The sequence below is a fragment of the Homo sapiens genome, chromosome 12 (genome assembly GCF_000001405.40).
Source record: "Homo sapiens chromosome 12, GRCh38.p14 Primary Assembly".
Lineage (NCBI taxonomy): Eukaryota > Metazoa > Chordata > Mammalia > Primates > Hominidae > Homo > Homo sapiens.
Genome location: NC_000012.12, coordinates 67,328,032 through 67,354,394, shown reverse-complemented (window position 1 = coordinate 67,354,394; position 26,363 = coordinate 67,328,032). Strand labels below are relative to the sequence as shown.

At 37.8% G+C, this 26,363-nt stretch overlaps 1 long non-coding RNA gene and 1 pseudogene across 1 annotated transcript, besides 1 other annotated feature; both read right to left on the bottom strand.

Annotated features, from left to right (window-relative positions):
- Positions 1-1,714: 1,714 nt before the first annotated feature.
- Positions 1,715-25,874, bottom strand: LOC124902957 (uncharacterized). Its single transcript, XR_007063354.1, has 2 exons — positions 25,354-25,874; positions 1,715-5,185 (listed from the first exon to the last, which is right to left on the bottom strand). It is a non-coding gene; the product is annotated as an uncharacterized LOC124902957 (long non-coding RNA).
- On the bottom strand, positions 2,354-2,892 carry MRPL40P1 (mitochondrial ribosomal protein L40 pseudogene 1; annotated as a pseudogene).
- Positions 13,226-13,742: an enhancer, noted in NCBI's record as "NANOG hESC enhancer chr12:67734433-67734949 (GRCh37/hg19 assembly coordinates)". NCBI's record gives its function as "activates a minimal SCP1, AML or CMV promoter by ChIP-STARR-seq in naive H9 embryonic stem cells {active_cell/tissue: H9 hESC(naive)}" and the evidence as "EXISTENCE:reporter gene assay evidence [ECO:0000049][PMID:30033119]".
- Positions 25,875-26,363: the final 489 nt, after the last annotated feature.

The window sequence follows — 26,363 nt, the reverse complement described above, 5'->3', positions numbered from 1 at the left end:
AACCAAACTCTTGGGCTCTTTTCAAGTCTGCCATCTCCCCCTTTTCATTCCACTTCCTCCCTCACTGTGAAACCTTGCTTGCTTGGACACTCCTGTAGTTTTAGACACCTTCCTGTCGATCTTTGAGCTATTTACCAGCTGAACATTTGTATTGTTAGTGTTAAATGATAAATTCATATAGCTAAGACACTTGACCAAGATAGACCGATACTATCATTTGAGCAACTGTCTCCTGCAATCTGTCATCACAATGAGATAGCCATGTTCTAACCTATCAGTAAGATTATACAAAAGTAAACAGAGTTGTCGGTATAAAATTGATTGTCAGCCGGGCACAGTGGCTCAAGCTTGTAATCCCAGCACTTTGGGAGGCCGAGGTGGGTGGATCACAAGGTCAGAAGTTTGAGACCAGCCTGGCCAAGACAGTGAAATGCCGCCTCTTCTAAAGATACAAAAATTAGCTGGGCATGGTGGCAGGTGCCTGTAATTCCAGCTACTTGGGAAGCTGAGGCAGGAGAATCTCTTGAACCTGGGAGGTGGAGGTTGCAGTGAGCCAAGATCGCGCCACTGCACTCCACAGAGCTAGACTCCATCTTGAAAAAAAAAAAATGCCACTGAGAGGTCATCTTTTATGAAATTCAAAAGTTTCAGAAATGTATCTAAATTGTCACCAATCCTTTCCCTGTAGTGTTCACCAGCCTCTGATCAGTTGATTTTAGGCAAATTTCTCACCTTCCACACTTGCAACACAAACTCAACTTCCAGCATACAGAGCTACTTGAAGGTTTCCCTAAATACACTAGGCACCCTCAGTCACTACACTACATATATGCTCTTGCTTTTTTGCCCAATGCCTGCCTTTTGACAGTCTGAGTAATGCCTACTTGTTTTCAAACTTCAGCTCAGGAGCTGCCTTCGCTTGTCTCATCCAAGCAGTCTGCAGCCCCTTGCTTTTATGCTCCTACAAGACCCTATTTATAACTCCATCACAGTGCCCATCATATGCTGGTAAAATGGTTTGTTTTCCCCTCTCACCTGCCATAGGTTCATTCTGAAAAAAGATTAAGAGTTTGACTCTGCAACCCCAGCACCCCAGGCTGTATCTAACACGTGGTAGGCAAACTGCAAATGTTTGCCAGATGGATGACCATTCCTGATGGCCAAGACATTAAGAAAGGGGCTGTTTTCCAGTGGTCCATAGCACTATGGACAGCTAAGATGACTGCCTCACCAGTTCAGAAGAAGAATAAGACATGCTCTCACTTACTTTCCTCCCTCCCCTTGTAACATGTATCTGGCGTTCTAGACAGCCCCATTTCCCCATCAGCCAAAGTTTTGGACCTATCAAGAATAAATCTTTAATTGAAGTCTATTAGTCTGTTCTCACACTGCTATACCTGATACTGGGTAATTTATGAAGAAAAGAGGTTTAATTGACTCACAGTTCCACAGGCTATACAGGAAGCATGAGGCTAGAAGGCCTCAGGAAACTTACAATCACGGCAGATGACTAAGGGAAAGCAAGCACATCTTACCATGATGAATCAGGAAAGAAAAAGAAGAGGGAGGTGCCACATGCTTTTAAACGATCAGATCTCATGAGAACTCACTCACTACCAGGAGAACAGCAAGAAGGAAACCTGCCCCCATGATCCAGTGACCTCCCACCAGTCCCCTCCTCCAATTCAACATGAGATTTGGGCAGGAAAAGAAATCCAAACCATATCATGAAGCTTTAATTGAAATGTTTGATTCTTCAAATAAATTACTTTCAAGTCAACCCAAGTGGCGTACAACTCTTGTAAACAAGTTTTCTAAATTTTGGTCACATTTTATTAACAAGTATTGAAATTTTAAATCAAGGCATTCAACAAGTGGAAGAACAAAAACCTTCAGCTTGCAAAACTTTTTAGAGAATTAAAGTTATTGAAAACAAAACTTACAGAAGAGCAAATGAAATTTGTCTATACAAAAAAAAAGGATGTGAACAAATGTTAACAATACAAATTTAAACAGGATACAGGATTTAATTTTGAAATTCTATAATTGCACTTTGGAATATTTCAACTTGAAGAGTCTTTTGATGGAGCTCCTACGTTTATTCAGATAAATTGGCATTCTGTTCCAGAATAGAATGGAATAGAGTTGAGAAGTCTACATTTTCACAAAACCTAAATTTGGTGAAATGCTCCAAACAGTCATAAAGACAACGTTTTTCTTCCTTTTATTTTTTTTTCTTTTTTGATTAAACATGTCTTTATTATCAGTATGCCTGATTCTGTGGAAAGCCGACTGGAACCCTGGTCATTCTGACTCTCGGGGCCTCATGTTCCAAGGTTGGCTGCTGCAACTCTCTCTTGAGCTCTACCTGTGTGTACATCTTGGTGATGTCATTGTACCTGCCTTTGGGGGGCTGGTAGTTAGAGACCCATAGTGTATAATCTGGACCTTCCCATTCAAAGGGGAACATGCTGCAGTCCCACTTGATGGTCTCAGTGGGGAACTCAGGGGACTTGAGTGGTAGCTCCTGCAGAGCTTCCTGCTGGGTCCCCAGCACAGCCTTGATGGTGTCCCTGTCCATAGTGTGCTCTCGCTGCTTGTACAGAGACCACTCATCAGAAGCAGAGCTCTCCACTCACTCTCCTCCAAGGAGAGCTCCACCTGAGGCCACTGGCTTGCTTTATCCAAGAACCTCACAAGGCTAATAAAATCTGCAACAAGAATGAGCTCTTGGCTAGCCTTTTCCAGTTTTCATATCTTATTTTTCAAGCAGCCCTTTCCTGCTTGGTCTTTTTTAGAATTCACCTTCTGCTCTCGAAGAGGTTCTGCTCTCACAGGAATGAGTTCGTAGGAGGACAACACTGAAGCTCGCTGGTGGGTGCCTCAAACCTGCTCCAGAAGCCACTGGGTAGGCACATAGTGCATGCCAGCTCACAGCCTAGCACTAGGACTAGTTGGCAGCCTGGCCCTGAGAAATATTGATCTACAAGATTTGTCTTATAGAAGTGCATGTCAAAGAAAGGCATTCCAGATTGAAAGAAAAATATCTAGGCTAAAATGTTTACCCATTTTAATATATTTTAAAAGAGAATTGGGAATATCTTCTATTTAGCCGCATTTGTTGTGAGCTTACTGATTACCTCACCACTGACAGAGAGAATATATTCTCATTAAAAATAGAATTTTCATCTAGAAGTAAATATATCAAACATTTTCCATTTATATATCATAAAATTATATTTTGAAGATTAGAGGCAATTTTATTAAAATTTTGGAACCAAATTAGGGAAAAAAGCATTATTTACTCAAAGAATAAAGAAAGAAAAGAAGGGGAGGAGGAAGAGAAACAATGTCATAGGCTTAAAGGCAGACCAAACTAAGAAACTAAGTAAAATACAGTACTATGTTTGAAGAGTAATTATTACACTTGTGTTTTTTGAAATATTCAATCAATATATCTGCTTTAATAATTTTTTATTTTTTGTTTTTATTTTTGATCTTTGTTTTTTATTTTTGCTTTAATATTTTTAGAGAGACCTTTTAAAACAGTTTTAATGGAATTGTTTTATATGCTTAACAATAACATAAAACCAGTTTGTTGAACAATAAGTAAATATTTCAAAACTCATATAATGTTAATTTTTTAACAACTCATTTTCAAAATTGTACCAGTTTGGTTAGTAAGTTAGATTCTCATCTAAGCTCAAACTAAGTGCAGCCAGCATGGCAACTTATGGGTTGAATGGAAGTTGTTTAGACCACACTGAAGGGTTCTGATTATATCCTGATGGTTGGAGGATGGAACAAGGTGCACGAGCAGAGAGGTAGATGAAGCTGGAAATGCAGATGCCAGGTCCTCACCTGTACTTCATCCAGAGCAACTCAGCCTATATTTTATTTACATATTGAATTTCTGTGTAAGTTCTAATTTGAAGAAATGGTTCCATGACTAAAAATAAGCTTGAGACCACCACTGTGGGCAATGAAGAGTCAGGGAAGAATTTTAAGCAGGGGAGTGACATGATCGTGTTTGCATTTTTAAAAGTCACTCTGGCAACAGGAGGGAAAATGGACACTTATAAAAAATAAACACCTAGAATATGTGGGTTTAGCACATGCATACAATACTTCTTTGCATTAAGATTTAACGTCATGCCTGAAAGGCCTTCTTTAAGACTTTTAAGAAAGTCCAAAATATTGTTTCAAAGCCCCTTTGTACAAGGATCTGCACATTTAATTATGATTAGAATTTCATAAAAAGTTCATTTCTTTAGATGACCTAATTTGATTTCAATTACAAATCAACAAGAACTATATTACATAACAGTGTTTTCATTTTTGACATAGCTGCCTAGATGCTCAGAACTAAAACATTTAACTGCAGCAACTGATTTATTCTAGGAACTCAAAATGCAAATTTTTCCTGTATTTTTTTCTTTGTTTTGTTTTGCCTTTTTAAAATAGCCATTTCAAATATCTTTTGGAAGTACTGACTCTAATAGTAAATAATAATTGTCATGATTATTATTATATAGGGCTTACATGTACCAGACAATGTTCTAAACTCTTTGTATATATAAACTCATTTAATCCTCACCAAACTAAATATGGAACTATCTCTGGCTTTGGAATTTGTGAATTTATTTATAAAACATAGGTGACATCAGAGGACACCAGTTTCCCTTCATCACCAGTATAAACTTACCTAGTAATTTCTGTGCTTAAAACCCATCAAGCATATTTCAAGACAATTTCAAAAAAAAAAAAACTTGGCTCAAAACAACTAAAAATCAAATCACTAGAAGAAATCACCTCTCTGATCTTCCAGTCTTGTCTATGTAAAATACATGTAAAATAATGATATATATAAAAAGGTTGTAGGGAATTCTAATGAGAAAATAAATGTATAAACCATGTCGAAAATTGTAAGGGGGTAAACAAATATGAGTTACTGTTATTCTGAAAAAGAGACAGTAAGGAGTTGTCATTATCTCACCTGTCTCATGCAGTCCATGGGCAAGTCAATCTTCACAACACATTCAGAATCTGACAACTTCTCTGCACTTCCACCCCAACCACTCTTGTCCAGGGCACCATCTTCTTCCACCAGAACCATTGCTACAGCCTTCTATTGGGTCTCCTGCTTCAAATTCTTCCCTTTCACCCAGCAGGTACAGAGATTCTTCTAAAATACAATGCAGATTATATCACTCTTCTGCTCAAAACCCTCTGAGGTGGGCAGAATAATGATCCCTCAAAGATGTCCTGATCCCCTAATCCCTAACCTACAACCCCCAGAACCTGCGAATATGTGGCCTTATGTGGTAAAAGAGTCTTTGCAGATGTGACTAAGTTAAGGATCTTGAGGTGGGAGATTATCTTTGATTCTCCAGGTATAATAACAAAGGTTCTTATATGAGGGAGGCAAGAGAGTGAGAGTTAGAGAAGATGAGCCAAAGGAAGGAGAGGTGGGAGTGGTGCCATTGCTGGGAGGGGCCATGAGCCCAGGAATGTGGACTCTAGAGGTGGCAAGGTCAAAGAACAGATTCCCCCCTAGAGTATCCTGAAGGAATGCAGTCTTGAAATCACTTTGATTTTAACCCCGTATGTTATGAATTGAATTGTGTCCCCTCCAAAAAAATAAATATTTGGGAGTCCTAACCCCCAGTATCTCAGAATGTGATCTTACCCGGAGATAGGGTCTTTAATAGAGATAACCAAGTTAAAATGAGGTCATTAGGGCAGGACCTAATTTAATATGACCAGTGTCCTGATAAAGAAGTGAAAATTGGACACAGACATGAACACAGGAAGAACATCACATGAAGGTGAAAGCAGAGATTGTGGTGAGGCACTACAAACTAAGGTATGCCAAAGATTGCCAGCAAACCATGAGAAACTAGTGGAAAGGCATGAAACAGATTATTATTCACACCAATCCTGCTGACACCTTGATCTCAGATTTTAGCCTCCAGAACTGTGAGACGACAAATTTCTGATGTTTAAGCCACCCAGTTTGTACTTGCTTCATGGCCGCCCTAGAAAATTAATACACTCTGCAAGACTTATTTTGGATATCTGACCTCCAGAACCAGAAGATAATTAATTTGTATTTTCCTAAGCCAGTAACTTTGTGGTAATTTGTTACCATAGCAATAGGAAACTAAAACACTCTGTGAAGGCTCCCCTTCTAACATCCTAAAATATGAAGTTGAAATGGTTTGGGTTTGTGTCCCCACCCAAACCTTGAGTCAAATTGTAATCCCCAGTGTTTGATGGGGGGCCTGGTGGGAGGCGATTGGATCATGGGGGTGGATTTCCCTCTTGCTGTTCTCATGAGAGTGAGTTCTCATGAGATCTGGTTGTATAAAGGTGTGTAGCACCTCCCCCTTTGCTCTCTTCCTCCTCCAGCCATGTAAGATGTGTCTGCTTCCCCTTTGCCTTCTGCCATGATTGTAAGTTTCATGAGTCTTCCCCAACCATGCTTCCTGTTCAGCCTGCTGAACTGTGAGTCAATTAAACCTCTTTTCTTTATAAATTACCTAGTCTCAGGTAGTTCTTTATAGCAACATGAGAATGGACTAATACAGAAGTCCTTACCAGAGTATAACATCTTCCAACCTGACACTTCCTCTCTGACCTAATCTCCTAGTACTCTTTTCCTCACTCTCTGTGTTCCAGCCCCACTGGCCTCCTTGTTGTGCGTTGAACACTGATATGGTTTGGCGCTGTGTCCCACCCAAATCTCATCTTGAATTGCACTCCCGTAATACCTGCAGGTGTGGGAAGGACCCGATGGGAGATAATTCGAATCATGGGGGCAGTTTTCCCCATACTATTCTCTTGGTAGTGAAGAAATCTCATGAGATCTGGTGGTTTTATCAGGGGATTCTGCTTTTGCATAATACTCATTTTCTCTTGCCATCACCATGTAAGAAGTGCCTTTTGCCTCCCACCATAATTCTAAGGCCCAAGCATGCTTTAGCTATGCTTGCTAAAGCATAGCAACAGTGGCCTTTACTTTACTTACTTTCCCAATAAGTTTCTCATCTCCATTTGAAACCACCTCAGCCTGGACTTCACTATCTATATCTCTATCAGCATTTTGGTCACAACCATTCAACAAGTATCTAGGAAGTTCCAAACTTTCCCTTATCTTTCTGTCTTCTGAGCCCTCCAAACTGTTCCAATCTCTACTCATTACCCAGTTCCAAAGTTGCTTCCACATTTTCAGGTATCTTTATAGCAATACCCCACTACTCAGGACCAATTTTCTGTATTAGTCCACTCTCATCTTGCTATAAAGAACTACCTGAGACTAGGTAACTTACAAAGAAAACAGGTTTAATTGGCTCACATTCCCACAGGCTGTACAGGAATCATGACTGGGGAGGTCTCAGGAAACTTACAATCATGGCAGAAGGTGAAAGGGAAGCAAGCACATCTTGACATGGCCAGAAGGAGAGAGAAAGAGTGAAGGGGGAGGTGCTACACACTTTCAAACAACAAAATCTCATGAAAACTCAGTCACTATCACAAGAACAACAAGGGGGAAATCCGCCCCCATGATCCAATCACTTCTTCCAACAGGGGGGATTACAATTCAGCCTGAGGTTTGCGTGGGGACACAGAACCAAACCGTATCAAATAGGCTGTTATTTGGTCCACTCCTGTGTCCCCACTGCCTGTAACAAACAGTGCTAGACACACTGGAACAACTTAATATATCTTTGTTGATCGAATAAATTATTCAAGGTTGCTGCTATATTCTGCTTCTAAAGTTCTTTCCACTTAAACGATTTTTAATATTTTTGTCTTTGAGCATATAAACAATGAAACTAATAGGCTCTGGGGTCATAAATCCAATAGGCTTACCTTATGTGACCCTCATCAAAATAAATTGGAAGGAGATAAACTCACTGGGGAGATAGCAGCTCAGATTTTCAACTGAACTTCAAAACCTTTCAAACCACAGTCAAGAGCACATGAAGCACTAGTTCAGAGGCAGACCACTCCTGACCGGAGAAACCAGTCAGAATGTAATGACAGCTCTGGACTTATAATTAATCTCAAAAGTCTGGCTGGGCAATTACTCCTGAGTTTGCAGCTAGATATTAACATATTTTTAATGCACTCTCACTTGGAAGTAATAAAGGGGAGGCCAAAAGTTGGTTGTTTATAAGGAATTCAACATTGATCATAGTTTTCAAAAGCTTTCTCATTCTGCACCTTATAATTTAACTAATAGAACGTGACTCTTGGTGACAACATTGGCAGCCTCACAATAGACATCATAATATAAACAGGCTGGAGAGAGCAGCTAGAAACAAAATTCTTTCTCAATCCCATACTCTTTTGTGATTTTTTTTTTTCCTTCAACTTGGAAGTAAGATCATGCTCCACATCTGAATACAGGTGAGGATATAGGGGATTTTGTTTTAGGTTTTGTTTTAACCATATAATCATCATCATATCTGTATATCACCATGCCTGCAGACTTAGAACTTAAAAAACCAAACATAAGCAAAGGAAAGAATGGATTGTCCATTCTTTAAACAACATGTCTTCAGCTTCTTATCAAAGTCAGATATATATCAATCTGATAAATAATAAGAATAGATTCATCTTGGGAGGTCCTTTTAGACTCCTTAAGTCCCCAAGTCTATAATTGCCATTGTAAGAGGAAGAATGCTCATGCTCTTCTAGATACCACCAAGGGAGGAGAAAGAGCTAATCTGATTGGTTAGAATCCAAGATAATCCATCAGACATTGTTATTAGAAGCACATCACATAGCCATTTCCCTTGTAGGATCTTTAGCTCCTGTTCCTTCTCTATAGCAGGAATATTCACTGAGTCAAAGCTGCCTCAGGGTCCAGCAGTCTTACTATTTCTGAACACATGCCCAAACCTGCTGGTCACTAATGAAAGCTCCTCTACCAGGAAGCCAGGCAGAAGGTGGTAAAAGATCCCAACTTTGGATATAGGCTTGATGGGAACCAGGATGTCCAAACTAGGCCTCAAACCTAAGCCAAGAGCTCCCTTCAATTATATAATTGGGGTACTGGCCTGGTCTATCCAATAATAAAATGGCCCTTTGTTTTCCACCTACTTTTGGTCCTTATGCCTAGCTCCCTCAGACATTCCTGGGTCCCTCTTGCCAAATATTATTAAAAATCTGCCCATCACATATACACCATGGAATACTATACAGCCATAAAAAAGGATGAGTTCATGTCCTTTGTAGGGACATGGATGAAGCTGGAAACCATCATTCTCAGCAAACTATCGCAAGGACAAAAAACCAAACACTGCATGTTCTCACTCATAGGTGGGAATTAAACAATGAGAACACTTGGACACATGCAGGGGAACATCGCACACCAGGGCCTGTCCTGTGGTGAGGGGAGGGGGAGGGATAGCATTAGGAGATATACCTAATGTAAATGACGAGTTAATGGGTGCAGCACACCAACATGGCACATGTATACATATGTAACAAACCTGCACATTGTGCACATGTACCCTAGAACTTAAAGTATAATAAAAAAAAAAAATCCACCCGTTTACTTCACAGTACCATATAATTTCCACCCACAATGTAAAGGAAAACATCCAAACTCTGAAATAATCCCTTGGGTTTCTTAATGAGCATCAGAGCACACACAGCCATTAGCTGAGAACCTCCTGGTCATCAGCTGGGATCCCTCACCAGTAATTCCACTCTCCCAAATTTAAGCAACATGAAATTACATTCCAGCAAAATCACATAAGCCTGCAGAGCTGCATGTGACTAGTCAAAACCATACACATAAAAAGCAAAAATATTAAAGGTCAACTGTTTTATTTTCAATAACGCTGACATTTGCTGGGCACAGTGGCTCACACCTGTAATCCCAGCACTTTGGGAGGCTGGGGTGGAAGAATTGCTTGAGTCCAGGAGTTTGAAACCAGCCTGGACAACATAGTAAGATCCCATCTCTACAAAAAGTGAAAAATCATCCAGGCATGGTGGCATGTGCGTGTAGTCCCAACTACTTGGGAGGTTGAGGGTGGAAGGATCACTTGAGCCCAGGAGTTCTAGGCTGCAGTGAGCTGTGATCATGCCACTGCATTCCAACCTGGGCAACAGAGTGAGACCCTGGCTCAAAAATAATAATAATAATAAACATTCTGTAGATTCCTGTAGGTAGTTTTCCATAACTGTTAAATGCACAAGCTGAGGAGTTTGGCAATCTGGGATAGAATTCTGGATCCACCATTCCTAGGGTATGTGGCCTTTAGAAGTTTCCTTAAGATTTTGTTTCCTGAACTGTAAAAGGGGAATAATAATAATAATAATACTTGGTAGGATTAAATAAAAAACACTTTGCACAATGCTTGCCACATAGCATGCATTTAGTAAATGTTAGGAGTTACTGATATTGTTGCTGCTATTATTAATATTATTTCATTACCAAATGAATTTGTCTCACCAAAATTGGTAATGATAAAGATTTAATTAATAATATTCTTTAAACTATGATCATAATTTAGAAATGCCTGTAAAAGTAAAGCAATCTTATTGTTTTACGTAAGGAAATAGAATATATGCTAAATAAAACAACCAACCAATCATAAACACACACACCATCCCTCAACCCCAAGGCCATATCCAACTCTCAGAGAGAAAAAATACATGTATCAATAGACTTTAGTATGATAGAATATGAAGCATGACAGACCTGTGCATTCATTTTCTGTTGCTGGATAATGAATTACCAAAATGTAGTGGCTTAAAACAATACAAAATTATTATCTCACAGTTTCCATGTGTTAGATGTCCAAGTACAGGTTAGCTGGCAACTCTCCTCAGGGTCTTACTAAGCTGAAATGTTACTCACAGGTACAATTTCATCTGAAGCTTGGGTCCTCCTCCAAGCTCATTGCTTCTTGGTAGAATTAGTTCTGTGTGATTGTAGGACAGAAGACCCTATTTTTCTTGCTGACTGTCAGTTGGGAATTACTCCCAGTTACTAGAGGTCACCCTTAGGTTCCTGCTGTATTGTCTCCTCCATAAGTAGTTCACATGGTTGTTTGTTCCTTCAAAGCCATCAAGACAGCATTTCTGTTGCTTGAAATCTCTCTCACTTCTAGATCCTCTTTCAAGGGTTCATCTGATTAGGTAAAGACTCCTCAGAATAATCTCCTTTTTTAATTAACTCAAAGTGAACTTATAGGGGCTTCAATTACCTTTCACCTTTGCTATATAACCTAACCTAACCATGGACGTGGCATCCATCATGTTCACAGCTCCTGCCTAGACTCAAAGGGAGGGGATTACACAGGGTGTGTACACCAGGGGATAGGAATCTTGTGGGCCATCTTAGTGTTCTGCCTACCACAATCTGAAATCAAATACTAAAGCAATAAAACATAACAGACTTACTTATTCTGTAATGGTGTCAAAATTATATTTTTAAATAAAGAGAGAAACTAAGAAATAATAATAATAGACTTGGATAAACATAATGGTTGAATATATGTATATATCTCTTTTATCTTTCCCAAATGCATGCAAATGACAGTAAAATAATAAAACATTTCAACGTTTTTTAGACAAGGAGAATAGGAGAGTATGGACAAGAGATGTTGATAAGCATTTGGAGGATGCGAAATGAATAGAGATATGAACGGCCTTGTAGAAGAAAAGAAAATTGAACCCAAATGCTGGGGAGAGGTAAATACCAACCAACATCAGAACCCAGAAAGGCCCAGGGATTAGAGTGTCCTGTGATCTCAAAAAACACATGGGGAAGGGAGGGTGGTTAAAGAATAAAGAAGTAATGCAAGTCTGTATGAATAACAGAATTACTGGGTCACCTAAAAGTTGGTTTTTTAAAGAGATAAATAAGTTAGCAAACCTTTAGCTAGATTAAGAAAATAAGAGAGAAGGCTCAAATAACTAAAATTATAAATGAAAGAGCAGACATTACAACTGAGTGATAACACAGAAATAAAAAGGATAATAAAAGAATACTGTGAACAATTATACACCAACAAATTGGATAACTAGAAGAAATGGATAAATTCCTACAAACATACAACCTACCAAGAGTGAATCATGAAGAAACAGAAAATATGAACAGACCAATAATGAGTACAGAGATAAATTAGTAATCAAAATCCTCCCAACAAAGAAAATCCCAGGACCTAATGGCTTCACTGGTCAACTGTACACTTATTTAAAGAGACCTTCTCAAACTTATCCAAAACAACTAAGAGAAGGGAACACTTCCAAACTCATTTTACAAGGCCAGCATTACCTTGATACCAAAGCCTGCCAAAAACACTGCAAGAGATGAAAATTATAGGCTAATATACCTGATGAACATAGATGGAAAAATTCTCAACAAAATACTAGCAAACTGAACTCAACAGCAAAGGAAACAATCAACATTATGAAACCTACATGTTGAGAGAAAATATTTTCCAACTATATGGCTGAGAAGGAGTTAATATCCAAAATATATAAAGAATCCAAATAGTAACAAAAAAAACCCCCAACAATCTTTAAAGTGGGCAAATGACCTGCATGAACATTTATCAAGAGAAGACATACAAGGTGGCAATAGGTGTATAAAAAAAGGTCAACATCATTCACTAATCATCAGGGAAATACAAATTAAAATTACCATGAGATATTACCTTACATCTGTTAAAATGGTTATTGCCAAAAAGACAAAAGATAAGAATCATTGGAGAAGGTGTGGAGAAAAAGGAACCCTTGTGCAGTCTTGGTGAGAATGTATATTGGTACGGTCACTGAAAAAGTTGAAAATAGAACTACCAAATGATCCAGTGATCTCACTACTAGGTACATATCCAAAGGACGTGAAATCAGTATGTCAAAGAGATATCGACACTCCCATGTTCGTTGTAGCATTATTCACAATATCCAAGATATGGAAACAACCCAAGAGTCCAGTGAAAAATGAATGTATTAAAAAAGTAATGTAAGGGAGGTGGGGGGCAGCCCCCACCCGGCCAGCCGCCCTGTCCGGGAGGGAGATGGGGGGCAGCCCCCGCCTGGCCAGCCACCCCGTCCAGGAGGTGGGGGGCGCCTCTGCCCGGCTGCCCCGTCTGGGAAGTGAGGAGCCCATCTGCCCAGCCGCCACCCCACCTGGGAGGTGTACCCAACAGCTCATTGAGAACGGGCCATGATGACGATGGCGGTTTTGTCGAATAGGAAAGGGGGAAAGGTGGGGAAAAGAAAGAGAGATCAGATTGTTACTGTGTCTGTATAGAAAGAAGTAGACATGGGAGACTCCATTTTGTTCTGTACTAAGAAAAATTATTCTGCCTTGGGATGCTGTTAATCTATAACCTTACCCCCAACCCCGTGCTCTCTGAAACATGTGCTGTGTCAACTCAGGGTTAAATGGATTAAGGGCGGTGCAAGATGTGCTTTGTTAACAGATGCTTGAAGGCAGCATACTCGTTAAGAGTCATCACCACTCCCTAATCTCAAGTACCCAGGGAGACAAACACTGCGGAAGCCGCAGGGTCCTCTGCCTAGGAAAACCAGAGACTCTTGTTCACATGTTTATCTGCTGACCTTCCCTCCACTATTGTCCTATGACCCTGCCAAATCCCCCTCTCCGAGAAACACCCAAGAATGATCAATAAATACTAAAAAAAAAATAAAAAAATTTAAAAAATAAAAAACAAAAACAAACAAATAAACAAAAAGTAATGTATATCTACACAGTGGAATATATTCAGATTTTAAAAAAGGAAATCTTGTCATTTTCAAAAAAGTGAATGACCCTGGAGGACATTATTCTAAGTGAAATAAGGCAGATACAAAAAGACAAATACTTCATGATATCACTTATATGTGGAAACTAAAAAACACTGAACTCACAGAATCAGAGAGAATGATGGTTACCAAGAACTGGGGGAGGTTGGGATGGGGGGAATGGGGAGATGCTGATCAAAAAGTAAAATATCTCAGGTAGAGAGGATGAATAAGTTCTGGAGATCTACTGTATGGCATGGTGACTATAGTTAAAAATAATGTACTGTATACTTGAAAATTGCTGAGATAAGACCTTAATGTTCTCATGACAAAAAATGATAAGTATCTGTGACATGAATATGTTAACTAGCTTGCTTTATTAATTTCATAATGTATATATATATCAAAACATCATACACAGTGTAAACACATACAATTTTTAATCATCAATTATACCTTAATAAATGGTAGGGAGGAGAGGAATTCATTCTCCCTAATAATTATTTACTGTCCCTCAAAAGAATTGTCTACATTCCCCGACTCTCCTTTCTCCCTTTCCTTATAAAGAAAGTTGATTTTTCAGTGAAACTTCAGAGGGCAAGGGGGAGGTTTCCGCTTGGTCTCTATAATTTTGGCACTGCAGCCAGGATAGCAAAGTCTCTCTATTCTTTTGGGAGTCACAGTCAAGGGAAGCTGGGACCTGAAAAGCCAGGAGAAGGGTTTGCCTACTCTGAGAACTAAAACCCTGATTCAGTAGACAAATTGGCACTCACTGGGTCCACCACTGTGACTGCTGGCACCTGAACAAGCCACCTGGAGGCCTAAGGATCAGCCTGCCTGGACTCACTACCACTGATGCTCACATATGCCACATGGGGACCAAGGACTGATCTGCCTGGTGTCCCTATGCCCAGCAAAACCTCACCACAGTCTTCACTATCAACCACAGCCTAAGCCACTGAAGAACTCACAGACACCACTGATGCTGATTATAGACAAAGAAGTCCTACGGAGACTACACTACTGCATCCACCCAGCTTTCAAAGCCAAAGTGCTCTGCCCAACCAATACTATAGATACATTTATAGGAAAAACTCTTCCTACAAAAACCAACCCACAAAACTGGAATAAGCAACTGTAACAATAGATGTACAGACATCAATGTAATGACAAAAGAAACATAAAGAAACAAAGAAACATGACACCTCCAAAGAAACACAATTCTCCAGCAACGGATTCCAATGAAAAAGAAATATCTGAAATGCCTAAAACAATTTTCAAAATACTGATATTAAAGAAACACAGTAAGATACAAGAGAACACAGATAAACAATATTTAAAAATCAGGAAAACAACTTATGATCTGAATAAGAAACTCAACAAAGAGATAGATATCATAAGAAGACTCAAGCAGTAATCCTGGAACTGAAGAATTCAGTGAATAAAATTTTAAAAATACAATTCAGGGCTTCAACAATAGACTAGATCAAGCAGAAGAAAAAATTTCTGAACTAGAAGACAGATCTTTTAAAATAACCCAGTCAGAAAAAAAAAGAGAATGAAAAAGAATGAAGGAAGCCTGTATGACATATAGGAAACCATGAAGCAATCAAATATTCTAATTTTGAAAGCTTTAGAAGAAGAAACAACGGGCAAAGGCATAGAAAACCTATTTAACTATATAGTAGCTGAAAACGTCCCAAGTCCTAGAAGAAACAGACATCCAGATACAGAAAGCACAAAGATCCCCAAATAGATTTAACCCAAATAGGTCTTCTCCAAACCACATTATAGTAAAACTGTCAAAAGTCAAAGATAAAGAGAAAATTCTATGAACAGCAAGAGCAAAGTGTTAAGTCATATATAATACAATCCCTATCAGACTAACAGCAGATTTCTCAGCAGAAATCTTATAGGCCAGAAAAGAATGAGTTGTTATTTTCAAAGTGCTAAAAGAAGGGGAAAAATCCTGCTAGCCAAGAATACTATGCCCAGAAAATCTATCCTTCAAAAATAAAGGAGAAATAAAATCTTTCCCAGACAAGCAAAAACTGAGGGAATTCATCACCACTAGACCAGCACTACAAGAAATGGTTAAGTGAGTCCTAGATCTAGAAGTGAAAGGACAATATGTACCATTATGAAAACATATGAAAGTTTAAAACTCTACTAGTGGAGCAGATATACAAATAAGAAAGAGAAGGGACTAAAATATTACCTCTACAGAAAATCACTAAGCTACAATGATAAACAATAAGAGAGGAAGAAAGAAACAAAAGATATACAAAGGAACCAGATTAGCAACTAACAAAATAACGAGAATAAGTCCTAACCTATCAATAATAACCTTGAATGTAAATGGATTAAATTCCCCCTTAAAAGATATACACTTAAAATCCATACACTGGCTGAATACATTTTAAAACAAAACATAACCCCACTATATGTTGCCTACAAGAAACTTCACCTGTAAAGACACATTTAGAGTGAAAGTGAAGGGACGAAAAAAGGTATTTTATGCAGATGGAAACCAAAAGCAAGCAGGAGTAGCTATACTTACATCAGATAAAAGAGACTTTAAGTCAAAAACTGCAAAAAGAGACAAAGTCCTTATATAATGATTATATGGTTTGGCTGTGTTCCCACTCAAATCTCATCTTGAATTCCCACGTGTTGTGGGAGGGACCCAGTGGGAGGTAATTGAATCATGGGGGCAGGTCTTTCCCATGCTGTTCTTGTGATAGTGAGTAAGTCTCACAAGATCTGATGGCTTTATAACATGGAGTTTCCCTGCATAAGCTCTCTCTTTTTGACTGCTGCCATTCATGTAAGAAGTGACTTGCTCTTCCTTTCCTTCTGCCATGATTGTGAGGCTCCCCAGGCATGTGGAACTGTAAGTCTAATTAAACCTCTTTCTTTTATAAATTGCCTAGTCTCAGGTATATCTTGATCAGCAGCATGAGAAGAGTCTAATACAAATGATAAGGGGTTAATTCATCAAGAGGTTATAGTAATTCTAAATATATATGCACCCAACATGCGAGTACCCAGGTATATAAAGCAAATATTATTGAATCTAAAGAGAAACAGATTCCAGTACAATAATAGTGGAGAACTTCAACAACCCACTCTCTGCATTAAACAGATCATCTAGGCAGAAATTAACAAAGAAACATTGGATTTAAACTGCACTTTAAATCAAATGGACCTAACAGATATTTACAGAACATTTCATACAACAGCTGCACAATACATATTCTTCTAATTGGCATATGGAACATTCTCCAGGATAGACAATATAGGCCACAAAACAAATCTCAGCAAAGTTTTGGAAATTGAAATTATATCAAGAATCTTCCTAAACCACAATGGAATAAACTAGAAATCAATAACAGGAGAAACCTTAGAAACTGTACAGATATGTAGAAATTTAAAGAACATACTCCTGAATGACCACTTAGTCAATGACGAAATTAAGAAGGAAATAAAATATTGAAACAAATGAAAATGGAAATACAACATATCAAAACCTATGGGATATAGCAAAAGCAGTGCTAAGAGGGAAGGTTATACTAATAAATATCTACATTAAAAAAAAGATTTCAAATCAACAACCTAGTAATACCCCTCAAGGAAATATAAAAGCAAGAAAAAACACCAAAATTAGTAGGAAAAGATAAATAATAAAAATCAGAGAACTTAATAAAATAGAGACTAAAAAAATAGGATCAATGAAACAAAATTTGTTTTTTTTGAAAAGATAAAATCAATGAACCATTAGCCACACTAACCAAGGAAAAAAGAGAAAAGACTCTAAAAAATAAAATCAGAAACAAAAAAAGAGACATTACAACTGATGTTACAGGAACATAAAGGATCATTAGAGACTATTATGAACAACTATAGGCTAACAAATTGAAAAACCTAAAGAAAATGGATAAATTCTTGGACATGTACAAATTACCCAGATTGAACCAGAAAGAAATAAAACACCCGAACAGATTTATAATGAGTAATGAGATTGAATCAGTAATAAAAAGTCTCCCAACAAAGAAAAGCCCAGGACCAGAGATGGCTGTACTGCTGAATTCTACCTAACTTATAAGTAAAAACTAACACCAATTCTTCTGAAACTATTTCAAAAAAACAGAAGAGGAGGAAATTCTTTCTAACTAATCTACAAGGCCAGTAGATACCAAAACTAAACAAGGACACAACACAAAAAGAAAACCACAGGCCAATATCCCTGATGAAGATAGATGCAAAAATCCTCAACAAAATACTAGCATACCAAATCCAACAACACATCAAAAATAAAATACACCATGATCAAGTGAAACTTTCCCAGCAGTGCAAGGTTGGTTCCACATTCATAAATCAATAAAGATAATACATCACATCAACAGAATAAACAACAAAAGTCATATGATCATCTCAATAGATGCAGTAAAAGCATTAGAAAGAATCACAAATTAGACATAAAAGGAACATATCTCAACATAATAAAGACCATATATGGGCCAGGCGCTGTGGCTTATGCCTGTAATCCCAGCATTTTGGGAGACTGAGGCGGGCAGATCATGAGATCAGGAATTTGAGACCAGCTTGGCCAATATGGTGAAACCCTGTCTCTACTAAAAATACAAAAATTAGCTGGGCATGGTGGTGCATGCCTGCAGTACCAGCTATTTGAGAGTCTGAGGCAGGAGAATTGCTTGAACCGGGGAGGCAGAGGTTGCAGTGAGCCAAGATCGTGCCACTGCACTCCAGCCTGGGCGATGGAGCGAGACGCCACCTCAAAAAATAAATAAATAAGGACCATATATGACAAACCTACAGCTAACTTATTGAATGGAGGAAAGCTGAAAGCCTTTCCTCTAAAAACTAAAACATAAGGATGCCTACATTTAGCACTTTTATTCAACACAGTACTGAAAGTCCTAGCCAGGGCAATCAGGTAAGAGAAAGAAATAAAAGGCATCCAGGCCAGGCACAGTGGCTCACACTTGTAATCCCAGCATTTTGGGAAGCCAGGGCAGGCAAATCACTTGGGGCCAGGAGTTCTAGACAAGCCTGGCTGACATGGTCAAACTCCATCTCTAATAAAAATACAAAAAGTTAGCTGGATGTGGTGGCATGTGCCTGTAGTCCCAGCTACTTGGGAGGTTGAGACAGGAGAATCGCTTGAAGCTGGAGGCTGAGGTTGCGGTGAGCCAAGATCACACCACTGCACTCCAGTTTGGGCAACAGAGCGAGACTCTGTCTCAAAAAATCAATAAATACCACCCAAATTGGAAAAAGGGGAAGTCAAATTGTTTCTCTTTGTAGACAACATGATCTTATATATTAAAAAATCTAAAGATTCCATCAGAAAACTATTGGAACTGTTCAACAAACCAACATACAAAAGTCAGTAGCATTTCTACACATCAGTGATGAACCAGCTGAGAAAGAAATCAAGAAGACAATCCCATTTACGATAGCTCCAAAAAATTAAAAAAATAAAATACCTAGGGATAAATTTAACCAAGGAGGTGAAAGACTTCTACAAGGAAAACTACAAAACATAGATGAAAGACATTGAAGATACAAACAAATGAAAAGACATCCCATGGTCATGAATTGAAAGAATTAATATTGTTAAAATGACCATGCCACCCAAGCAATCTTCAGATTCAATACAATTCCTATCAAAACACCAATAACATTCTTCACAAAATAAAACCTCCTAAAATTCACATGGAACCACAAAAGACCCCAAAGAGCCAAAGCAATCCTGAGCAAAACAACAAAACTGAAGCCCCCACATTACCTGACTTCAAAACATTCTATACAGCTATATAATCAAAACAGCATGGTATTGGTATAAAAACAGACACATAGACCAATGGAACAGAATAGAGAGACCAGAAATAAAACCATGCATTTACAGCCAGTGTATTTTTGAGAAAGGCATCAAGAATATACATTGGAATTGAACTCATGCAGATAGAGAGTAGAAGGATGGTTACCAGAAGCCAGGAAGGGTAGTGGGATGGTGGTGGGAGGGAGGGGATGGTTAATGGAGACAAAAAATAGATAGAAAGAATAAGACCTAGTGTTGATAACACAACAGAGTGACTGTAGTCAATAATAATTTAATTGTACATTTTAAAATAACTTAAAATAGTATAATTGAGTTGTTTGTAATACAAAGGATAAATGCTTGAAGGGATGAATACCCCATTTTCCATGATGTGATTATTACTTATTGCATGCCTGTATCAAATTATCTCATGTATCCCATAAATATATATACCTATTATGTACCCCCAAACAATTGAATAAAAAATTAAAAATTTAAAAACATGTAAAACATAAAAAAGAATATACACTGGGAAAGGACATGTAAAAAATTAAAAAGAATATATCCCCAAATAAATTTTTAATACAAATTTAAAAATTTTAAAAACATGTAAAAATTAAAAAAAGAATACACTGGGAAAGGACACCCTCTTCAATAAATGGTGCTGGGAAAACTGGATATCCATATGCAGAAAAATGAAATTAGACCCCTATATCTCACTATATACAAAAACAACTCCAAATGGATTAAAGACTTAAACATACACCTGAAACTATAAAACTACTAGAATAAAACAAGGGAAATGCTTCAGGACATTGGTCTAGGCAAATTTTATGACTAAGACTTCAAAAGAGCAGCCAACCAAAATAAAATTCACACAGCAATGGAAACAATCAACAGAGTGAAGAGACAACCTGTTGAATCAGAAAATATTTTCGAACTATTCATCCAGCAAGAGACTATTATCCAAAATATGTAAGAAACTCAAACAACTCAACAGCAAAAAAAAAAAAAAAAAAAAACCCACAGATAATCCCATTAAGAAGTGGGCAAAGGATCTGAATAGACATTTCTCAACAGATACAAATGGCCAATGGTACATAAAAAAGTGCTCAACATCATTAATCATCAGGGAAATGCAAATCAAAACCACGATGAGATATCATCTCACCCCAGTTATAATATCTATTACCAAAAAGACAAAAATTAACAAATGCTAATGAGGATGTAGAGAAAAGAGAACTCTTATACACTGTCAGTGTGTACAGCCACTATGGAAAATAGTATGGACATTTATCCAAAAAACTGAAAATAGAACTACCATATTATCCAGTAATCCCACTACTAGGTATTTACCCAAAAGAAAGGACATCAGTATATCAAAGGGATACCTGTACCCCTTATGTTTATTGCAGCACTATTCACAATAGTTAAGATATAGAATTTACCTAAGCATCTATTAATGGATGGGTGGATAAAGAAAATGTGGTATATATACACAATAAAATACTATTCAGCCATAAAAAGGAATAAAATCCTGTCATTTACAGCAACATGGATGGAACTGAAGGTTTTTATGTTAAGTGAAATATATTAAGCCAGGCACAGAAAAACTAATATTAGATGTTCTCACTCCTATACGGGAGCTTAAAAAGGTGATGTCATGGAGGTAGACAGTAGAATGATAGTTACCAGAGGCTGGGAAGGATGGGTGTCTGGGAGTGAAAAGGATGAAGAGAAGTTGGTTAATGAGTACAAACATACAGTTAGATAAAAGGAGTAAGTTCTAGTGTTTGATAGCACAATAGGATGACTATAGTTAATTACAATGTATTGGATATTTCAAAATAGAAGAGAATATTTGAAATATTCCCAACACAAATAATAAATGTTCATGGTGATGAATATCTGAAATGTCCTAATTTGATCATTACATTGTATGTATCAAAAAATCACATGTACCCCATAAATTTGTACAATTAGATATCAATAAAAAAATGTAATAGCAGGGGGCAAAGGGGCAGGGCAGGAGACGACTATAAACATTCAGAAATGTCTCTCAGTTTTCTAGCTTTTAAAACATTATACCAATATTAGGCTGGGCAAGGTAGCTCACGCCTGTAATCCCAGCACTTTGGGAGGCTGAGGCAGGCAGATCACTTGAGGGTGAGGAATTTGAGACTAGCCTGGCCAACACAGTGAAACCCCATCTCTACTAAAAATAGAAAAAGAAATAGCTGGGCATGGTGGTGCACACCTGTAATCCCAGATACTTGGGAGGCTGAGGTATGAGAATCGCTTTAACCTGGGAGGCGGAGGTTGCAGTGAGTGGAGATTGTGCCACTGCACTCCAGCCTGGGCAACAGAGTGAGACTCTGTCTCAAAAAAAAAGAAAACAAATTATACCAATATCATATAATTATCATATTATAGAATTTCTACATCTAAAAAAAACTCTTCTATATTGATTTTTAAATATCAGCTATATGAATTTAAAGAACATTTTTTCCATTGTCATTACTCGGAAAAGCAAATTCCAAAAATTCAGTATCACACTGGGTGGTAGAAACTTATCTCAGATGTTTATTTCTGGAGAAAACTCCTTTCTATCCCCATTAATCACTTCAGTTCTTCCCCATTAATCACTTCAGTTCTTCCATAATTAATTAGAATTGTTTAGTTATTTGTTTTTATAGTCCCACACCTAAGGCTATTATTACAGTCACCAAAATAAAATGCTGACAAGTTAATTTTTGTAATTTATTTATGTCTACCAAGAGGTTCAAAAATTTTATAGCTAATATAGCTCAGTGAAAATCAAATAGTCATAATTATTTGCTCTCAAGGGCATCAAATCCACCAGGGCAAAGGTATCAAGAGAAAAACCAGAGTAAAAAATGGAAAAACAAATGGCCAGTTTCAGTGGTTCACACCAGTAATCCCAGCACTTTAGGAGGCTGAGGTGCGCAGATCACTTGAGCGCAGGAATTCAAGACCAGCCTGGGCAACACGGCGAAACCCCATCTCTACCAAAAATACAAAAAAAAAAAAAAAATTAGCTGGGTGTGGTGGCATGCGCCTATAGTCTCAGCTAGTAGGGAAGCTGAGGTGGGAGAATCACTTGGACCCAGGAAGCAGAGGTTGCAGTGAGCTGAGATTGTGCCACTGCACCCCAGCCTGGGCAATAGAGCAAGACCCTTCTCAAAAAAAAAAAGAGTAAAGAAAGTTTATTTTCACCACAACTCTTCATCACCAAAGATATGTAATAACACCCAAGGAAGTAGAAAAATTAAGAAATGTAATCTAAAAAAATATAGCTTACTATACTTTTATCATGCTTTGACTGTTGGGGATAGAAGAATTAGGTAAAGGGCCAGAGAAAGAAGACACTGAGGGCTTGTGGTGGAGGGCAAAGGTAAAATGTGGCGGGTAGGATTATGGTTTGGCCAGGAAGGAAAGAAAAGTGAAAGAGAAAGGAAGACAAAGACAAAGGTAGTCTCAGAGCAAAAGAGTCAAAATGACACCATATATTAGGTCAGTTTGATACAGCAATTTTAACACTCCTGAATCAAAGTAGCCCTATAAAAAATGTATAAGTCTCTGGGATTTTATTTTTTATTACCAAATAATTATGTGTACAACTTACTGATCCCTACTGCATCCATTAACGCAACCCAGACTACATGAGACTCACATTTTCTTTAAGTTCTATATTATTTGGATTTTTTCACACTATATATTACCATTATTTTAAGTATATATATATATATATATACATTTTTTAAAGTCTGTCCAATTTGTGTAAGCCTCTAATGATGTCCCAATCTTTTCTCCCAAAACATCTTGAAAGAGTTTTTGAATCTTAAATATAAAATATGTTCGTAGGTCAAAGTATCTGTTAGAAATTTAATTGAGGATTACATATGCCATCCAGACTTGAGATTAAGGGATCATATTGTGGCCTAGATATCTACTACCACAACCAGCAACATCTTCTCATCCTCAGGATATAGGAAGGTAAACAATAGTGTAATCATAACTCCTAAGAGCTATAGTCCATTTTCATGATCTTGAGATTGAAAATAGAATGTTTCATTTGGCCAGGCATGGTGGCTCATGCCTGTAATCCCAGCACTTTGGGAGGCCGAGGCAGCCAGATCACTTGAGCTCAGGAGTTCAAGACAAGCCTGGGCAACAGAGTGAGACCGTGTATCAAAAAGAAAAAAAAAAAGTTTCGTTATTAAGCAGGGACTTATTAGTAAAAAGTACATTATTAATAATTTTAAAAGAGAAATAAAGTAATATTTTTTAAAAACCAAAAACTCAAACTATTCAAGATACAAAAGATTATCAGAAAATGCACAGACAGCATGATAGCTCATGCCTGTAATCCTAGCACTTTGGGATACGAAGGTGGGCAGATCACTTGAAGCCAGGAGTTCGAGACCAGCCTGGCCAACACAGTGAAACCCCATCTCCACGAAAAATACAAAAAGTTAGCTGGGTATGTGGCATGTGCTTGTAATCACAGCTACTTGGGAGGCTGAGGCATAAGAATAGCTTGAACTCAGGAGGTGGAGGTTGCAGTGAGCCGAGACTGTGCCACTGCATTCCAGCCTGGGCGACCGAGTGAGACTCTATCTCCAAAAAAAAGAAAAAAGAGAGAGAGAGAAAGAGAAGAAAGAAAAAAAGAAGAAAGAAAGAAAGAAAAAGAAAGGAAAGAAAGAGAAAGAAAGAAAAAGAAAGAAAGAAAAAAGAGAAAGAAAGAAAGAAAAAGAAAGAAAGAAAGAAAAAGAAAGAAAGAAAGAAAGAAAGAAAGAAAGAAAGAAAGAAAGAAAGAAAAAGAAAGAAAGAAAAGAAAGAAAGAAAAGAAAGAAAGCAAAAAAGAAAATGCACAGACACTTTGGCCTAGAACAATGGATGGCAGTGCAGTAAACTCCTGGTTACGTGGCTTCTCTGCAAGATGATTCTTAACTCCCTCCCATCCCTGATGGGGCAGAACAAAGTTTGAGGACTGGGAAGCAGAGTGGAGCACAATATAACATGTGTTTAGTGATAGAAAATATGTTTAGAGACCATTTAACTCAGATTGATCCCGTCACACTCCAGGGTTGGTAGTTTATGATGTGGTAAGGTCCAATATTTTGTACTTATAATAAGGACATTTTAATATGGCCAAAACCAACCAAAAAGGAAAGAAAAGAGCATCTCATGTACAAATTAGTTAATAATTAAAAAAAAATTTTAACCTAAAGTTAAAATATGTTTTCTTAGCAGTTTGGAGATTTCTCAAAGAACCACAAAGAATTACCATGAATTACTATGTGACCTAGTGATCACACTAGTAGGTATATTCCCAAAGGCAAATAAATCATTTTACCAAAAAGACACCTGCACTCAAATGTTTATGACAGTACTATTCACAATAGCAAAGACATAGGGTAAACTCAGGTGTCCATTAATAGTGAGTTGGATTAAGAAACTGTGGTACATATACACCATAGAATACTACACAGCCATAAAAAAGAGCAAAATAATGTCCTTTGCAGCAACACAGACGCCGCTGGAGGCCATTATCCTAAGGAAATTAACAAATTAAGCCAACCAAATATGCTCACTTATAAGTGGGAGCCAAACATTGGCTATACACGGACATAAAGATGGGAACAATAGACACCAGTGACTCCAAAAGGAGAGAGGAGGGAGGGGGACAAAAGGCAAAAAATTACCTATTGGATACTATGTTCACTGCCCGGGTGACAGGTTCAAGTGAAGCTCACAGCATCATGCAATATATCCATGTGACACACCTGCACATGTACCCCCTGAATCTAAAATAAAAATAAATAAATAAATAAAAATGTTTTCTTTTCATTCTTTTTGGTTTGTTTTGATCACATCAAAATGTCTTCATGTCAATAGTACAAGAATCTTCATTGTAGCATTGTTTGAAATAGTAATATGTTGGAAACAACTTCAATATAGAACTCCCTACATAAATTATGAGAAATTTGTACAACAGAATATTAAGGAGCACTTTAAAAGAATGAAACATTTTTATTTCCACTAACATGGAAGGTTCTCCAAGCTATATTGTTAAATGAAGAAAAAAGGGGCAGGGGCAGTATGCTACCATTTGGGTAAAAAAAGAATGCCTACAAATATGTTCATATATGCTTAAACAGTTTGTGGGATACTACACAAGAAACTTAAGAGCAATGCCTCAAAGAAGAGACTCTAGGAGCTTTTTTTTTTTTTTTTTTTTTTGAGACAAAGTTTCACTCTGTCACCTAGGCTGGAGTGCTGTGGCGTGATCTCGGTTCACTGCAACCTCCGCCTCCTGGGCTCAAGCGATTCTACTGCCTCAGCCTCCCAAGCAGCTGGGACTACAGGCGTGTGCCACCATGCCTGGCTAATTTTTGTATTTTTAGTAGAGATGGGATTTCACCATGTTGACCAGGCTGGTCTCGAATTCCTGACCTCAAGTGATCCGGCTGCCTCAGCCTCCCAAAGTGCTGTGATTACAGCCGTGAGCCACCGCGCCCGGCCGATATTTGCTTTTTAATATATACCTTTAAAAATATATTGAATTTTCTACCATGCTTATAATACTGATTCAAAAGAGTAATTAATAATTAAAAATTTCTCCATGTAAAAACAGCAGCCTTAAGTGGAGCTATCACAATGTTCCTGACACTAAAAATCATTATTTCCAAACATTACATGCTTGGCACCACCA